The sequence below is a fragment of the Homo sapiens genome, chromosome 10 (assembly GCF_000001405.40).
Source record: "Homo sapiens chromosome 10, GRCh38.p14 Primary Assembly".
Classification (NCBI taxonomy): domain Eukaryota; kingdom Metazoa; phylum Chordata; class Mammalia; order Primates; family Hominidae; genus Homo; species Homo sapiens.
In genome coordinates, this window is record NC_000010.11 from 79,382,190 (window position 1) to 79,398,761 (window position 16,572).

Sequence of the window (16,572 nt, forward strand, 5' to 3'; positions counted from 1 at the left end):
GGCAATGACAAGATGACCCAGACCCAGGGGAGCTGAGGCCAGCCCCAAGTCTCTCTGATGCCTGCCCCGTCTCCTGCCTCTGAAAGAGTCCAGCCTCCCTACATGCTTGCGTGAACAAGGAAACCTGTGAGCCTCTTTTGCTTTTAAAAGTCCTTTTAATACAGCATGAAGAGGCTATATTTCTATAGGCGAGCCGTATACAGATTCTCCAGGAATAAGGCACACAACGGAATGCCATCCCAAGGGCTGCACTTCGGAGACGTCGGAGCCTTCTCCACGCACCTTCCGAGCTGGGCCCACGGGTTCTGTTTTGTCTTTTTAGCTGGACTCACACGTATGGACAGACACAGACACGGACGGGGTCACCGCATGGGGGCGGAGGAGGTCGGACGGCAAGGTTGGCAACAGAGAAGGATAAGCCCGCTGCCACAGCCCCCAGGGGACCGCTTGGCCATCTCGCTGAAGGCTGGAACACCCCCATTTCAGGGTTAGTCGTTGGACTGAGCTACAATGTAGTGAGGTTGGATTAAATATTCGTTTAGAGTAGATTCAAGTCTATTAGATGCTGGAGGGCTGGTGTAAGGGCTCCGGTTGACATTTCCAAGTTCAAGGAGCATGGCCTGGAGGAGGCGTGGCTCAGATGGCAAAGCTCCCGAGCGGCGAGGCCAGGCTTTGCCCCACTTCTTCTTCCCTCCTGGGGCCCTGCTGATTGAGAGCCCTCCCACCAAGCCAAGACGCTGGTGGACCACAGAGGGGCTGGTTAGTCAAATAAGCTGCTTCTTCCCCTTGCCCACTCCCTGTCCCTCTACAAAATTAATAAAACCGTAATAACAAGATAAGAAGAAGAAGGTGCAAGAGAATGGATTACAATGCTGTTTGTTATCCTCAGTGGAAGAGGCACAAAGGGGTCACCATTCCCTTTTTCACTATGTATCGAATTATAGCTTCCCTTAAAAAAGGCAATACTTTCCAAAATACACATATGTATAAATACAGGACAAGAACATATTAATAAGTCTAAACACTTGAATAATATGCTGTCTACTTAATACTGATATTTTCATCCAGGGAAAACAACACAGAAAAACAACAATATGGCTTAAAGAATTGCAAAGATTTTTTTTCCTCATCAGAATTATGTACCAACTTCATATAATATTCTATGTAGACAATATTTCCTTCTGAATGTAGTTCAGTTGCATATTTTTACAGACCAAAGCATAGTAAAAAACAAACAAAAACCAACCAAAAACCCAATAACGGGAAACAGAAAAGTTCTCACCATAAATATTTTCTTGCAGCTCAACCAGAAGGTTGGCAAAATACTTCCAGAAATCTTTGTTTGATATTCTCTTGCCCTCCTGAAAGTTCTGAAATTTTGAAAATGCCTCTCTTTTTGTTTGTTTTAATCTCAAAAATCAAACAATTATATTTTTCTTTTCTTTTTTTTTTTTTAAAAAAAGGCCCTCAAATATATACAGACAAAAAATTACTGTGAAGATTTTTTCGGGAAAAGCTACCAAATTCAGTGTTGTGAGAAAAACTGGTAACCATGCAGAAATTTTAACATCTATGAATTTTTTTTCCAAAATACACACATATTTTTTTAAAAAAGGAATTCTGTGTCAAGTATAACTCAAAATAAATACAAATTCACAAGTAGAACTATTGAATACTTCATATGGGGTAAACACCATTATCTCCCAACTAGATCGCTAGATCTACCAACTGCAAGCGATTGTCCCTTTTGAACGTACTAAAACCACACACTTTCCCATCCCCTGGGCTCCTGGCCCTCTGAGCACTTAATTCTCAATGGCACCTGGCCTGCATGGCAGGGGCTTTGCTGACCACAAGAGAGTTCCCCAGTTCAGCCAGAGCCGAGTCAAGGGGAGTATGGAAGGTGGGCCTCAAAGCGGGAACCCCAGCCCCCAAGGTGGCTGGCTCTGCACAGATGGCAGGGCAGTGGCTACCTGCTGAACAGCTCACTGGCAAGGTCACTTTGGGGTGATATCCCAACTCCCCTTAGCCCGTGCAGGGAAGCCCTGGCCTCCAGTGGTCTGGGGCCTGGGTTAGTTTTAGGGTGTGGGCCCCCCACCTTTGCAGCACAGCTGGCAGGCCCCAGGCATCCTTGGGCCAAGGTCCCCCATGGCCGGGTCCCTGGAAGGGTTGGCACAGGCACGCCGCCCACCACTGCGAACATTCTCTTTAGCAGTGCGGTAGGATGACTGTCAGTGGCAGCTTCTCCTTGGGACAGAAGCCTGGGCCGGGGCCAACCCCAGCTCACCTCAACACCTTGGAGAAGACGGGGAACAACGTGCTCGGGGAGTCCTCAGTGGCAGTCCCCAGTGGTGGCAAGGGTGTCCACAGCCTGCTGCCTGGCCTGGAGCAAATACCTTTTTTAAGTGCTCAGAGGGTATGGCCCCTCAAATCCACCCTGCAGCTCCCTGGCTGCAAATACACTCACTCCATCTTTTCAACTCGCTCCCTGGACCCCTGGTTAACACTTCACTGTAACTCCTCAGTTGTACAAAGCATTTTCATTTGAATACAAAAGGCAACTGGACACCAGATGGGCATCCTTGAGCCATGGTAAACACTGAATTTCAGGCTCATTTCTTGGTCTGATTTTTTTTTTTTCCCACAGAGGCATAATGTAGGGGCAAAATCAAGAGACCCAGTTCTGACAGCCGGGAGAAAGGAAGGGTCAAGACCATGGAAACGGGGCTTCTCATCCGGGAGACAGAGGAGCGCACGATCCCGCCGCCAGCCAGGACAGTGGGCTCCCTGGCCACGGACGTGCCACGAGGCCTCTCTGCTCCCTTGGGAGGTAGGAAATTATTGTCTCCATTTTAGAAAAGAGGGGTTCTGTGGCTTGTCTCAGGGTTCTCCATGTCAGGGGCTAGGAGACCGAGGTGAGAAGGAGGGGGCTCCTCCATGTTTGCAGGGGTGGGGGATGAAAAGCAGGGCTGGGGCTGCAGGGGCCAGCAGGGGAGGACTCAGCATCCCTCAGCTTGACTTCCTAAGACACCAAGTGAAGGGTCACGATGCGGGGTACCTGGCACCTGGGAGGTTTCTCCCACCATTCTGGGTGAAACTCCCCAAATAAAGCTCCAGGACACAGCACCGGCCAGCCTGAATCCCAGAACAACAGAGCTGAAATGGGCCCTCTGCTCTCTAGTGTTATGCTGTCATTTAACTAATGGGGAAACTGAGGCCTGGAGATGCGAAGTCCTTGCCCAAGGTGACACAATGCGTCGGCAGCAGGGCAAAGACTTGAGCCGAGGTCTCCAGAACACCAGGCTTGTGTCCTTTCTGCTGGAACAGACACGCTGGGCTTCCACACTGGGCCCAGCTATCTTGATGTGGACCCCCAGAGTGGGTGGGAGGCAGAGGGGAAGGAAAGGGAGTGGGGCTGACAAAACCTAAGGCAGTCTGGTGGGGGTCGTGGGAGGGGCTGCCCCACGTTCACCAGGACGCATCTCTCCAGCATTCTGTGCCTCCCCCATGCCTAACCCCTCCTATCTGGGTCCATAGCGTGGGGAGGGGGGCACACCCAGGTGCAATGCCAGTGATGTCAGAGGGGGTCTGGATTTGGGGCTTAAGGTGGGCAAGGGACAGAGAGGTCCACTCCCCAGCCGCTGTTGGAACACATGTCCCCTTGCCACGATTGCTGACTCAGGAAAGAGGGATTTCTGAGAGTGGCTTTCCATACAGGGCAAACCGGAAGGTTCTGGGTGGGGGCAGGCGGCCTGGCTGGTCTGGGGAGGTTTGGGATTCACAGTCAATTTAGTGCACCTGTGGCCAATACAAGGCTGCTCACCCCAAAGAGGCTCTCAGAGGCGAGCCTGTGGGGACACCCAGGGCTCCTGGACATGGGCTTTTGCTTGCCTTTGTCCCCTCCACTGAGACCCCAGGCCCGCCTGCAAAAAGCCCCAGACTCCCTGCTTTCCCTGGCCTGTGGGGGGCAGCAATGTCAGTAACACTGTTTGTCAACACACACAAGACAAGGACGCTAAGAGCCCCCGGCCCAGCCCCGCAGGCCTGCGAGGGCACCCCATGCACAGGGCGACACGCAGCCCCTCGGAGTAGCACAGGGAAGCAGCGTCTCCTCGGGCTGGCGGGGGGTGGCTCTGGGTGCGGGCGGGCAGCCCGTCACTGCACGCGACGGCAGTAGTAGCCCAGGACCTTGCACTTCTCGCAGAGGTGCTGCGGGTGCTCCTTGCTCTGGTCGGACACGTCCAGGCCGTCGGGCTTCTCCAGGGGTCTCTGCAGAGAGAAGGAGGAAGGGGCCCAGGGGAGTGAGGGGAGAGAAAGACAGAAACACAGAGACAGACAGGGAGAGACACACAGAGACAGACAGGTGAGACAGGTACACAGGGAGGGGACCAGACAGAGAGGCACACCTCTGCAGAGACAGAGACTGACAGACACAGTGAGGGAGAGACACACACCCGATGAGGGGTGGGGAGAGGGCGCCTGTGGTCACAGGTTGTTTCAGCCACGGTGCCGGGGCCCTCCTCCTGAGCCCGCATGCAGGCGTCTGAGTCCTAGGGCACACAGGTGGGGCCCTAGGCTGGGCCAGGGCTGTGGAGGGGCCTTGTACCTGGCACCCTGGCCATGTGCACTGCTCTGCTCTGCCCTGAGTGCTGCCTGAGGAGCCAGCACCTGAAGTTCACGTGAGTCCAGGTTAGAGGCAGGACACGGGTGCAGCCTGTCAGATGAGGAAACCCAGGCCCACAGCAACGGAGGCCTGGACCCACATCTCCCGACCCCAGCATCCGGCGCCTCTTCCCTGGCCACTCTCCACTCGCAGCCCTGCTTGTGTGGCCTCAGAACTCAAGGGAAGCCTAACCCGGACACAGTCACAGTGCTTCGGGCTTGTGGTGAGTGAGCTCCATGAGTGTTGATTGACCCCCACATCTCAGGGCCGGCCCAGTGCCCTATTTGTTGAGGCTGCATGAATGAAACCTCAGTTTTCCAACAAGGAACCTGAGGCCCAGAGAAGGGAGGTGACTTGCCGGGCCTGTCCTGCCACACACTCACTGGGTGATCGCAGGGAGCCTCCGTTTCCATATCTGTGAAGTGGGCCATTCACAGTGCCTCATTTGCAGGGGACTGGGAGGATCCAGAGAGACGTCTGGGAGTGTGTGAACTGGACAGCGGAAGGCACAGACGAGCACATTTCTATTAGAGAGGGAGCTTCCCTGCTCGCTCTTTTCCTCCCCTCCTGACTCTCCAAAGCTGGCGAAGACTTGTTTCCCTGGAGAATTTATGGAGGCTATGACGAAGAGCTCCTGAGTGGATGCTTTCTTGGCCAGCTCACGGGGATTCTGCCTTCTGTTCAGCTGGAGCCCCTGCCTGCAGAAGGGTCCCCTGCATGGACATGGGGGGCTCACAGGAAGCTGGTCAGGGCCAGCCTGGGGCCACATGCCCAGGAGAGGGGGCAGAACCTGGACTGCAGACCATGGCCCGGATGACAGGGGAGGGCAGCAGAGGGTGTGCTCTGTCCCCCTGGCCAGGCTGTGAATGGCTCAAAAGTAGTATACTGGCTTCTCCACCCAATCCACAGTCTTGGCCCCAAGAGGACACTCAGAGCGGTCTGGGAATGGAAGAGTCAGAAGGTTCTAGAAGGCAGGTGGGGAGACTGTGGTGGGAGGGTTCTGATCCAGGGACCACCCTTCTGCCCCTGGCCCAGGGGTCATAAAACCCATCCCTGTGCTCCCAGGCTTAAAGTCACAAAGCCAAGGCCTGGAGGGAAAGACAGGCACGTCAACCACATCACAAGAGGCTTTCAGGTGACTGGCTTCCCTGTCCAGCTTTCATCCTGGCCAGGGAAGAGAGGAGTTGGACTTCCTGTCAGACCTGGGCTCGAATGCCGGCTCTGCTACCTAAGAGCTGTGTGACCTTGGGCAGGCCACCTGTCCCCTCTGGTCTCCATGCTCCCATCTGTGAACAGGGATGCTGATAACAGCTTTCTCATGGGCTTGTTCTCACCAGACAACTCAATGGAGATAATGAATACAAACAGCCCGGCATGCAGAAGCTGTCTGTCGTTTGTCTTATCGGTGGGAGGGGGACACCAGCTGGTGGAGGGCTATCAAAATTAAGCCAAGATCCCAAGGTGAAAGGACCTAGGAAGGGCACGTTCCCTGCTTTCCTGGACGTCCCAGGGAGACCTCCAACAGCTCCTCCATCTGGGGCTTGGGTGCCCTCAGGGCTGGAGAGCTGCCTGCTGGCAGAGCCCACCGCTCAGTTTACTGCCTGCACTGTAAGAAGACTTCCCACCTTGAGTTAGAATCTGGGTCCCTGTCACCTCATCCTGGAGATCCCAGCCACACAGACTCTGCTTGGCTCCCAAAGGACGGTCTGATCAGTACAGTCGTGAAGTGTCCCCTCCAGCACACCAAAACAAAGCTGGTTTGCAGCCCCCACCCCCTTGACTGGCCAGGGCCTCTTCCTGGACCCAGTCTTCCAGGACAGGCCAAAAAGGCCAGACTCAGCAGGCCCCACACAACCCTCACTCCCCATGGCTTACACATTATGTGGCAAAGTACTGCCACCTAAGTCAGGCCACCTAATGTCGCCACCTAATGTCACCACCTCCCTGTGAGTGGCACAGGGAGGAAACAGGTCACAGATATATGGGGAAGGGAGTTTCCACAGATGAGGCAACTGAGGCTCCAAGACGTTAGGGACATCCCTGGGGCCTGCAGTGAGGAGGTGGTAGGTAGGGTGGCTGGAAAGCCACACATGCTGTTTCCAAGCCCTGCACTGCAGGGACATACTGCCTACCGCCTGCAGCTGGCCCCACTGGCTACACTGTATTGGGGCTCAGGGCCAGCTTGTGACCAGTGCCCACCCCAGACTGCAGCACTCCCTCCCAGCCCGTCTGAGTCCCTGGCTTTCTGTCCCCAGGGCAGCACCCTCCTGTGTTTGATGGAGGGGAACGTGTCTTCACAGGCACAGCGCTCTCCCCTGGGAATTCACTGGCACCTGCCAGCTGCACCCACCCTGACTGGCATCTGCCTTCTGAGTCTTCATCTCTGGGGCTGACAGAGGTTTTGCAGGCCCAGGACTGAGGGCAGAACCTCCATGGAGACTGAAGGGGTCACTGCCAGCTTGTTTTGAAGACTGTTCTGGAAAACTCTGTGTCTGGTGTCTTCTGCAACGTCTCCATATGACATGATATCACCAAAGTCAGATAGACAGAGCTTTGCATGCCAGCTCTGCCGCCTATCAGCTAAGGGCTGTTGGGAAGGATCTTTCTCCTCCACAACCTCAACTTGCCCTTTTGGGATCTGGGTGAGAGGTTAATAACATTCACTGACTTTTTCCTAGTGTGTGTGTGTGTGTGTGTGTGTGTGTGTGTGTGTGTCTGTGTGATAGAGAAGTAAATAAGATGACTGTCTTATTTTTATTTTTTATTTATTTTTATTTTTTCAGACAGAGTCTCATTTCTGTTGCCTAGGCTGGAGTGCAGTGATGCTATCTCGGCTCACAGCAACCTCTGTCTCCTGGGTTCGAGTGATTCTCCTGCCTCAGCCTCCCAAGTAGCTGGGATTACAGGTGCACACACCACCATCCATCTAATTTTTGTAGTTTTAGTAGAGACGGGGTTTCGCTGTGTTGGCCAGGCTGGTCTTGAGCTCCTGACCTCAAGTGATCCACCCACTTTGGCCTCCCAAAGTATTGGGATTACAGGCATCAGCCACTGCGCCTGGCTGACTGTCTTTTTTAGAGACAGGGTCACTCTCACATAGGCTGGAGTGCAGTGAATCCTCCCACCTTAGCCTTCCAAGTAGCTGGGACCACAGGCATGCACCACCATACCTGGCTAATTGTTTAAAAAAAATTTTTTTATAGAGACGAGGTCTCACTATATTGACCAGGCTCATCTTGAACTCCTGGGCTCAAGCAATCCTCCCACCTTGGCCTCCCAAAGTGCTGGGACTACAGGTATGAGCCACTGTGCCCAGCTGCGATGATTGTCTTAAAGTATTTTATAACCATAAAAAGCTCCAGAAGACTTAGTGATTGCTGTGTGACCTTTAGCAAATCACTTAACTTCTCTGGGACTCAATTTTCTCCTCCATAAAATGGGGGCTAAGTCTGTAGGCTAACTCTACATGATAGGGTTGCTGTGAAGAGTAAATTAGTCTATGCAAAGGGATTAGAACAGTGCCTGGCACATAGAGAGCATTCAAAATGTTGGCCAGTATTGGTATCATGTGTTATATAGGGTTAGGGGCAGCATGGGGGCAGGGGAAACAGCGAAGTCCCGGGTGAAATGATCTTGAAACATCCTTGCCAGCACCCTCCTGGGCTCATCTGAGCTGTGCCCCCTCCTTGGCCATGACCCCATGGTGGGAGTTCCCTCTGTGGGCACGGGCTCTGGCTCGACTGCTCAGCCCTGCTTGGCCTGCCACTGGGCGAGGAGCCTGGGGAAGCTGTCAAGACATTCCCCTCGGCAGACGGAAAACACTCTGCAGCTGGGGCTGACTGTGGTGGAGGGCCTCCCCCACTCCCTGCAGCAAGGCAAGGCCCAGTGGTGTTTTCTTCTTGAGGGGACCGGAGTCGGTAGGGGGAGCTGCAGCTGGAGGCCGACAGGAAGCAGATGTGGCGGCCAGGAGAGTGGGGAAGTGGGGGGTTCTCCAGAGACGGAGGCCACACAGGTCAGGGCTCTGTGGGGCAGGAGAAATAAACCAGCCCTCTCCACCGCGGGGCAACATGGGGAGCACCGCCGCTGGGCTCTTCAAAGGCTCCCGACAGCTGGGGGATAGAGAGGCACCACTCTCATACCCCCTCCCAGCTTGGGAGCTCAGGAGAGGAGATAGAGCCCTGGGCGGTGGGAGACCTGAGTTCCAGGGCCCCTTGACACCAGCTGACTGGTCACTGGTCACTTGACTACTCAAGTCCTGTCTCCTTTTGGGGCCTCAGTGTCCCCAGTGCACACAGTAGGTGCTCAACAGTGGCCTAATGACTGGAAGAGGGGAAGGGCCCAGCCACACACTCTTGAGGGATCCTTTAGATTGGGTCCTGGGAGAGCTGATCCTGAATGTGGAGATGGGGGACAGGTGGTCAGGGAGCTGTGCTGGGACTGAGCTTGGCAGGATGGAGATGGCGAGGCAGGTGGGGCCGTTGCCAGCTTGGGGATGGTGACACAAGCCAGGAATGGGCCTGGCATTGTGGAAGGGGCATGGTGAGGAGCCCTGCCCAGCCAGAAGCTGGGGCAGTATCGGGGCAGGGGCTGAGGGCTGGAGCCACTGCGGAGACTGGGTTCCTGTGGGGCTTTGGTGCACAGGCTGGGCCCTGTCTCTCTGCTTAAGTCACAGTGGGGGTCGTAAGGACCCAGCCCCCAGGACTGTCAGCACAGACCCCAGCAGCCCCCATACATCTGAGGCCCTGCAGAAACTGGGCTGTTCCTGACTCCTGCCCCCAGCCAGCCACCATTATCTGCCTTCCCTCCTCCCCTGCTCCCTCCCAGGCCACTTATCTGCCCTTCCAGGCTCCAAGCTATCCTCCGGGCCCCCGGTCTACTGACCTTCTACCCCATCAGAGCTGTCTTACATCTCTCCCTCAGGGTAGCCTTCCCCCAGTAGCTCCCGGAGCGCTCTCCCCTCCTGCCTCCTCTGTCTGCTTGTCCTTTGCGGTGACTCAGTACACATGGATGGCCCATCCCACCCCTGGCTCCTCCATCCCCCACTACCTCATCGACAGTGACCTTTCCCTCCTACCACCCCTCAGCCACACCCTAGACTTGGGCTTCTTCAGAAACCACCCATCTCTGCCCCCTCGTTCTCTCCTTCCATTCCACTGGCTCCCAGACTCCACCCAGTCCACAGGCCCACCCGGCCTCCCTCTCCACCGGTCCCGTCTAGCTTCCCTTCCCTGCCGATGCCCCACGATGAAGCACGGTCATCATACTTTTACAAATAGGCCCACCCCCCAACCATCTGCCCTCTGGAGTGCTCGCCCAGCCAACCTTTGCCCCGTGGACCCTCCGTACACCAGGCCTGGCCTGCACCTGCCAGGCGAGCTGTGCTGGAGCAAGTCACGGAACTAGGCTGATGCCTGCCACTGCATTAGGATTGCACACCTCCCTGGGCCTGGGATGCGGCTGGGTGGTCCAGCCAGCTTTCCCTAGCAGGCTGCTTCCTTGCTCATCCTTCCTCAAGCCCGCCCCAGCCCGCTTGTCTCCCATTCACTGAGAAAACAGAAGCCTTGGATGTGAGGTTCTTCTTTGCACCATCCAACCCATGAAACTTCCTAATTACCCCCTCTTCTCCCTCCCTCCTGTGCCGATGGGTGAAGCATCCCCCGTTTTGCCCCTGCACCATCAGCCCTTTGCTGTCTTCTAGATCATTCTCACCAGACTGCACTGGGCTCCAAGCTCTACTATCTCCACAACACCCAGCCCAAGGGCTCCTTCCCAGTTGCGGCCACTGCTGTGATTCTCTCAACAATCAAACTCTCCTCAAGAGAGTGGACAATGAGGCAATTCCCTCTGCAGCCAGATCCACACCAGCCTCCCCTAACACTGCTCCATGGACACTGCCTTGACTTTCAGGCCAGCTACAAATCAGCACCTCCACTCTCACCCTCATGCCTGACTGGCCGGGCTTCTGTGCTTCTCAAACCTTGGTTGTAGTTCAAGTTCCCCATGTAAAAGTAATGCTTTTGTTTTGCTTTGTAAAATTTGAGGACCATCGCCTTATTGCCAGATTTCTAAGGCACTCCTCTGTGGTCTCTATACCTGACATTTGAGCACCAACCACCAGCCAAGCCTCCAACAGCACTCTCCCGACCCCACCCCAGGCTTCTAGGACTCCACACCCCCTGGTTCTCCTTCTCCTTACTGGGTCTTCCTCCTCTATCTGACCATCAAACACTGGGATTCAGCATCACTTGGTCTAGGGAATCCCTTCTCTACTCTGTCTACATTCTTTCTGCAGGAACTCAAATCCATTCCCTACTACGTTTAGGTTGATGACACCCACTTACATTTGGGCCATCTTGACTTCTCACATGAGCTTCAGAATTACAGATCTAACTGCCTTCTTGACATCTCTAACTGGATTTTTGCAAACATCTCAAATGTAACCTGTATCAGAGGACCCCTGGTTTCATTTCCAACATCTGTGTCCTGCCCAGGCTGCCCAGTTCAGGAACGACCTCCTCTATCCATTCAGGTGCTCCAGCCTGCCTGGGGTGGGACTGTTCTCCTAGGCTCCTGTTCTTCCCCCACATTCCACCACCAATCTGGTGATGCTTGGTGTCACATCCAGCTCCAGAGCCACCTCCAGAGTTCAGTCCCCTCCCAGCTCACATGAGGCTATGCTATTGGCTTTCCCACTGGTTTCCACACTCAATCTCTGCACACAACCAGAGTAACTGACTTAAAATGAATCTGAAAGCCCTGCTGCTCTTGGGTCCCTCGAGTGCCCCCAGGGCTCTGTGACTGCCCCATCTAGCCCTCTACCCCAAGCCTCTTGCTGCCCTCTCCTGCGCTTTCACTGAACCGTGGGCCTGAAGCACCCCAAGTCCTTACAGCCTCAGGGCATTTGCACCTGCTGTGCCCCCTTCCTAGGATGGCCAGCCCCCCACTTGTGATAGGCCTAGCTTCCCCCCATCCTCCAGGTCCCCAAGTCAGCATCAGCTCCTCTGAGTGGCTTTCCCTGTGCAGCTGCCTGAGGTAAGACCTTCCTAGGAGGAGCTGGCCCTACCCCTCCCACATGCCCGGGCCTGGTGCACACAGCCACCCTGTTGACACTGGCCGACTGGATGGATCAAGGAAGGAAATTTGAGTTTTCTGCTGCTTCCTGCTGTCCGCACATCTCTGTCTCACAACAGCACACCCTGTTCACTAGTTTTACAATTCCCCGGGGTTCTCTGGTCTCAAGATCTTGGTGCAGTTGCCCCATCATCCTCCTTCCCTTCCCTTCCCTCCCATTTCAGATGAGACAAGGAAAGAAAGGGTCAACTTAGAGAGATCTCCCTTGTAGGAGGGAGTAAACTGAGGTCCGGTAAGGGAAAAGTTGCCCTCCCGCGGTCCTTCTGAGAAGGCCCCAGCCTGCCCGGCTCACCTGCTTGTGTGGATACACGTTGATGTGGCACTTGATGCACTCCTGCCCCATGTTGGCCCAGGAGTTCCCGCTCATCCATTTTCTCTTGCACTTGGGACACTTGTACTCGCCGAAGCAGCGCTTTTTGCCCTGGTATGGAGTCAGGCCCTCGCCTTTGGGGCGTGCCTACAGGGCAGGAAGCAAACACAGGGGATTGGAGTCCAAAGGCCAAGATGATGCCCCACAGGGTTCCCCTGGCCTCCGCCTCAGTCTTCATGTCCTGTGTCCATGTGTGCAGGCACCTTTTGTCCCCAGTCTAGATAATACCAGGGTCATCCCCAGAGCACAGACGGGAATCCGAAGGCTGGGAGGCACATAGGGAACAGAAAACAGAGGAGATGGTGAAAAAACAGAGGAGATGGCGCACGTCTCTTCTAGATTTAAGGGGTAAAGTACTCAATGGTGGCTGGAAATTACTTCCTTAACTCACACGTCATCAAGGGCAGCTGGTCTCATGGGCCTGCACACAGGCACTCTTTGGCCTACCCAGCAGTGTGCTTTAAAGGGTCATTGAAGAGGCAATACAAGCACGGAAACTGGTGGCAGTGCCAATGAGTCTTCCTCCTCCCTGCACCCAGTCAGCTCCCCTACTAGGAGGCAATCTAAATTCCCTCACACCACTCCAAAGGCGGGCCCTGCATTTACAGATGCATATGACATGCACATTTGTACATACATTCTTTTCCCTCATGAAAATGGAAACAGATTATCCATCTGGTTCTGCATCTTCCTGGTTCTGCATCTTCCATTCTAAAGATTTATCTTATTTTATTTTTTCGAGACAGGGTCTCGATATATTGGCCAGGCTGGACTCAAACTCCTGGGCTCAAGGGATCCTCCTGCCTCAGCCACCTGAGTAGCTGGGGCTACGTAGGTGCATACAGCTGTGCCTGGCTACTGTTTTTTTTTACTGAATAATACATCTTAGAGTTTTCCCTACATAACTACAAATAGAGCTACTGCATTCTGTTTAACAGGTGCACACAATATAAGTCCATGCAAGCTCCGTAGTGCATTGACCAGTTACTATTTTAGAACATCTAGCTTGTTTCTGTTCTCCCATTATTACAAACAATGCTATAATGAATAACTTCATATATGTATCATTTTGCACATGTGTGAGTGTATTTGTGAATATAGAAGTGAAATTGTTGGGTCAATGGGTATGAGCACCACTAATTTTTAAAGAGCAAATTGCCACTGCCCCTTCTTCCCACATACTGCAGGTATCCCAACTTAACATTCCATATCAGCATCAACAGAGTTTTCATTATCACCAATCTAAAAGGTAGAAAATCTTCTCAGAGGAGCTTTGACTTGTATGTCTTTTATTATGAGCAAGAGTGAATTTGCCATGCATTTAAGACTCACTTGTGTTTCCTTTGTGAACTAATTGTTCATACTTTTTGTGATTCTTTTTTCATGCAGGAATAGCCTAATATTTTTCTTGTTGATTTGTAACTGCATTTTATATATGAAAGAAACTAGCTATCTCCCACACAGTGTTATTTTAACAGCTTTGCTGATATAATTCATGTATCTTACAGTTTACCCATTTAAAGTGGACAAATCAATTGGTTTTAAGTAAATTCACAGAGTATACAGTCATCACCACAATCTAATTTTAGAATATTTTTATTGACCCCCCAAAAGTAGCCCTATACCCAGTAATAGTCCTTCCCCATCCTACTCCCACTTCCTTATCCCACACAGCCCTAGGCAGCCACTAGTGTACTTTCTGTCTGTCCGGATTTCCCCATTCTAGGTATTTAATATAAGTAGAAACATACAACATTTGTCCTTTTGTGTCTGGCTTCACTTAGTGTCATGTTTTCAAGGTTTGTTCATGCTACAGCATATGTCAGCACTTCAATCCTTTCTGTTGCCAAATAATATTCCACTGTATGGATATGCCATGCTTTATTACCCCATTTATTAGATGATAGACACTGGGGCTGTTTCTAATGTTTGACTATTATGAATAATGCTATTATGAACATTCACGTGCAAGCTGCAAGTGTTCTTAAAAGTTGAATGAGTTACCCTAATATTTGCAAATGGGAGATTTCACACAGAAATACGACCACACTGGTCTAGAATCCTTGCTGGTTGAGGTTAAGGAGTGGCTGCCCCATCAGCTTGCATGCACGTGCTTCCTCCACATCACCTCTGCTCCCACCAACTAGAGCTGAATTTACGTTCTCTACTAGGCCCTCGCAGGCTTTGAGTTGGAGAGGCTTAAATGCAGGCTCTCCACAGTGGTTATTCAAAGTGTGGTCCCCGGACCAACAGCGACAGCACCACCAGCTTGTTAGAAATGTAGAGTCTGGAGCCCCACCTTGGATCTGCAGAATCAGAACTGCATTTTAACAAGAGCCCCAGAGAATTCATATGCCATTACGTTAAAGAAGTGCTGGGCTATGAGATGATGTTGCCATAGTAACTTTCCTTGGGGAACTGCCCATTTATGAAGTGGTGCATAATGGTTAAGGGCACACGCTCTGGATCCAGATCCCAGCTCTGTGATCTTGGGCAAGTTACTTCACAAGGATAAGGATAGTAACTACCATATAAGACTGTTCTGAGGATTAAATGAGCTGAGGAGTAAATGCAAAACATTTAGAACAGTGCCTGGCACACAGAAGACAAAACAGGAATATTAATGCCATTGTTATTTATTAATGTAGAACAAAAAGTGGTATATAAAATTGGTACATAGTTTCTTCCTTTAGTAATCATGCCTCTTTGTCCCAGGCGCCATTACTACCACTTGGTGATAGCCTGCTAGAATTTCAGACAAAACATTAAGAGGGGACATACGTGCTGAGTGCGCAGATCTAAAGTTAGAAAGTGACACCAACACCACCCTGATCTCCTGGGCCCACTGCCTAACGTCTTTGGATCCTCAGTGGCCTTCCTGGCAGCTGTAACATTCTTGGGAGAAGGTTCAGCCTGAGCTCCAGGGCAGGGCTGCCCTCAGCACTGGTCAGATCTGAGAAAGGGGTCAGCCACACCCAGGGGAGTGCTCAGTGGGCAGCTAGGGCCCGGGGCCAGTCAGTTTGTAATAGAGGGGTCAACGTGTGCCTCTGAAGGCACACTGAGCTCTGTTGATCTCAAGTTAGTGCATGTCCCTCTGACTGTTTCTGGTGCTACCTTCTCCTTCACCTGGGGTCTGGAACCTGTGACTTCTAAGCCACCCCCTCTATCACAACCCCTCATCTTCCATTATCTGAAATAAAGCACTGGATGAACTCACTCCCCCATGTCTCCCCAGAAGCATCTACGTCTTCAGAGGGGATGAGGGGGCAGGCATGGGTGCCTCCCTGATGCTGAGGTCTGAGACTCCTTGATCGAAGGTGGGAACTTGGGGACTCTCACCAGCCAGGCCCACTCTGGATCTGGTTCTGCAGGCCTCTGAGCTCAGAGAGCTCACAGGACCTGGTGCCTGGCCTCACACAGTTGGGGCAAAGGACAGGGGTCAAGGTACCAGAAGGAGGGGTCAAGTCATTCCAGGACACTGGGCAGAGTGAAGCGTGGGGACTGGGGCCAGACTGGAGGTGGACTCTGGGAATTTGTTCCCAGAGCCCCTGCTTCAGAAATGAACGGGAAGAAAACCCACACAGATAAAGAAGACACTGAGTGAGAACCGAAGGGAACAGGAAGATGAAAGAGAAGAGCGAGGGGTGAGCCAGGAAGCACAGACGCACCATGTAATTAGAAAAGCAGCCGTCTGGAGCCGTCCGTCAGGGCGTGTGGGCTGCTTGGCAGGCAAGGGATGGGGCCCCAGCCTCCTGCAGGACCAGACGTCCTCAGCGCACCATTCCCACGGCTGCTGTCAGGCCAGGCACTGGGAGGGCCCGGCTCCAACACGCCATTGCATGGGATGTGGCTCCAATTGTGGTCTCCAGGGCCAGATGCCTGCAATGACATCTGGCTCTGCCTGTGACTATCCAGGGAGTTCCTCGCCAAGTTATTCAAACTCTCTGTGCCTTGGTTTCCTCATCTGGAAACCAGGATGATGATAAAGGACCTGCCTCCCGGGGCTGTTGGGATTTGACACATTCATGCGTGTAAAGGTCTCAGCTCAGTGGTTGGCACACTGCAAGTGCTCGGTCACCATTAGCTATTTCAGGGTGATTCTCTTCTTCGTTGCCTGCACTAGGAGAGGGAGCAGAGGTGTCTGAGGTATTGCCGAGGCTAGGGCTGAGGTCCACAGGCATTAGTCCCAGGAGGATGGTTCCAGAGATGGGAGGGAAACCTGGGAGGGATATCTGGGTAGCTCTCTATCCCTGGGTAGGAATGGACTGGCAAGCAAAAGAAGAAACAGCATTAGGCATCTTCGCTTTCTAGAATTCTCATGGAAGGACCACGCTGCAGAAGCTCTGGGGACACTGCTGGCAGAGGTTGAGGAAAGAGGAAAGAGAACTGGCATTTGTGTGGCACCACC

The 16,572-nt window shown here is 53.0% G+C and overlaps 1 protein-coding gene across 2 annotated transcripts in view, besides 5 other annotated features; it reads right to left on the minus strand.

The window, feature by feature from the left end:
- Positions 1 to 135: 135 nt before the first annotated feature.
- ZCCHC24 (zinc finger CCHC-type containing 24) overlaps positions 136 to 16,572 on the minus strand; it is a 63,300-nt gene continuing 46,863 nt past the window's right edge. For both annotated transcript variants that reach the window (NM_153367.4, XM_011539452.4), the window contains exons 3-4: positions 12,087 to 12,251; positions 136 to 4,269 (exon numbers count right to left, since the gene is read on the minus strand). In NM_153367.4, coding sequence (NP_699198.2) covers positions 4,156 to 4,269; positions 12,087 to 12,251 — 279 coding nt within the window. In that variant the 3' untranslated portion in view covers positions 136 to 4,155. The remainder of the gene's footprint in view (positions 4,270 to 12,086; positions 12,252 to 16,572) is intronic.
- Positions 3,874 to 4,801: an enhancer, noted in NCBI's record as "H3K4me1 hESC enhancer chr10:81145819-81146746 (GRCh37/hg19 assembly coordinates)". NCBI's record gives its function as "activates a minimal SCP1, AML or CMV promoter by ChIP-STARR-seq in naive H9 embryonic stem cells {active_cell/tissue: H9 hESC(naive)}" and the evidence as "EXISTENCE:reporter gene assay evidence [ECO:0000049][PMID:30033119]".
- Positions 8,115 to 8,700: an enhancer, noted in NCBI's record as "H3K4me1 hESC enhancer chr10:81150060-81150645 (GRCh37/hg19 assembly coordinates)". NCBI's record gives its function as "activates a minimal SCP1, AML or CMV promoter by ChIP-STARR-seq in naive H9 embryonic stem cells {active_cell/tissue: H9 hESC(naive)}" and the evidence as "EXISTENCE:reporter gene assay evidence [ECO:0000049][PMID:30033119]".
- Positions 8,115 to 9,126: a biological region, named in NCBI's record as "H3K4me1 hESC enhancer GRCh37_chr10:81150060-81150645". NCBI's record gives its function as "regulatory_interactions: PPIF".
- Positions 8,361 to 8,470: an enhancer, noted in NCBI's record as "active region_3646". NCBI's record gives its function as "activates an Ori minimal core promoter by ATAC-STARR-seq in GM12878 lymphoblastoid cells {active_cell/tissue: GM12878}" and the evidence as "EXISTENCE:reporter gene assay evidence [ECO:0000049][PMID:35858748]".
- Positions 8,626 to 9,126: a transcriptional cis regulatory region, noted in NCBI's record as "chr10:81150571-81151071 region (GRCh37/hg19 assembly coordinates) targeted for CRISPR interference". NCBI's record gives its function as "positively regulates PPIF gene expression in LPS-stimulated THP-1 monocytic cells {active_cell/tissue: THP-1(+LPS for 4hr)}" and the evidence as "EXISTENCE:mutant phenotype evidence [ECO:0000015][PMID:33828297]".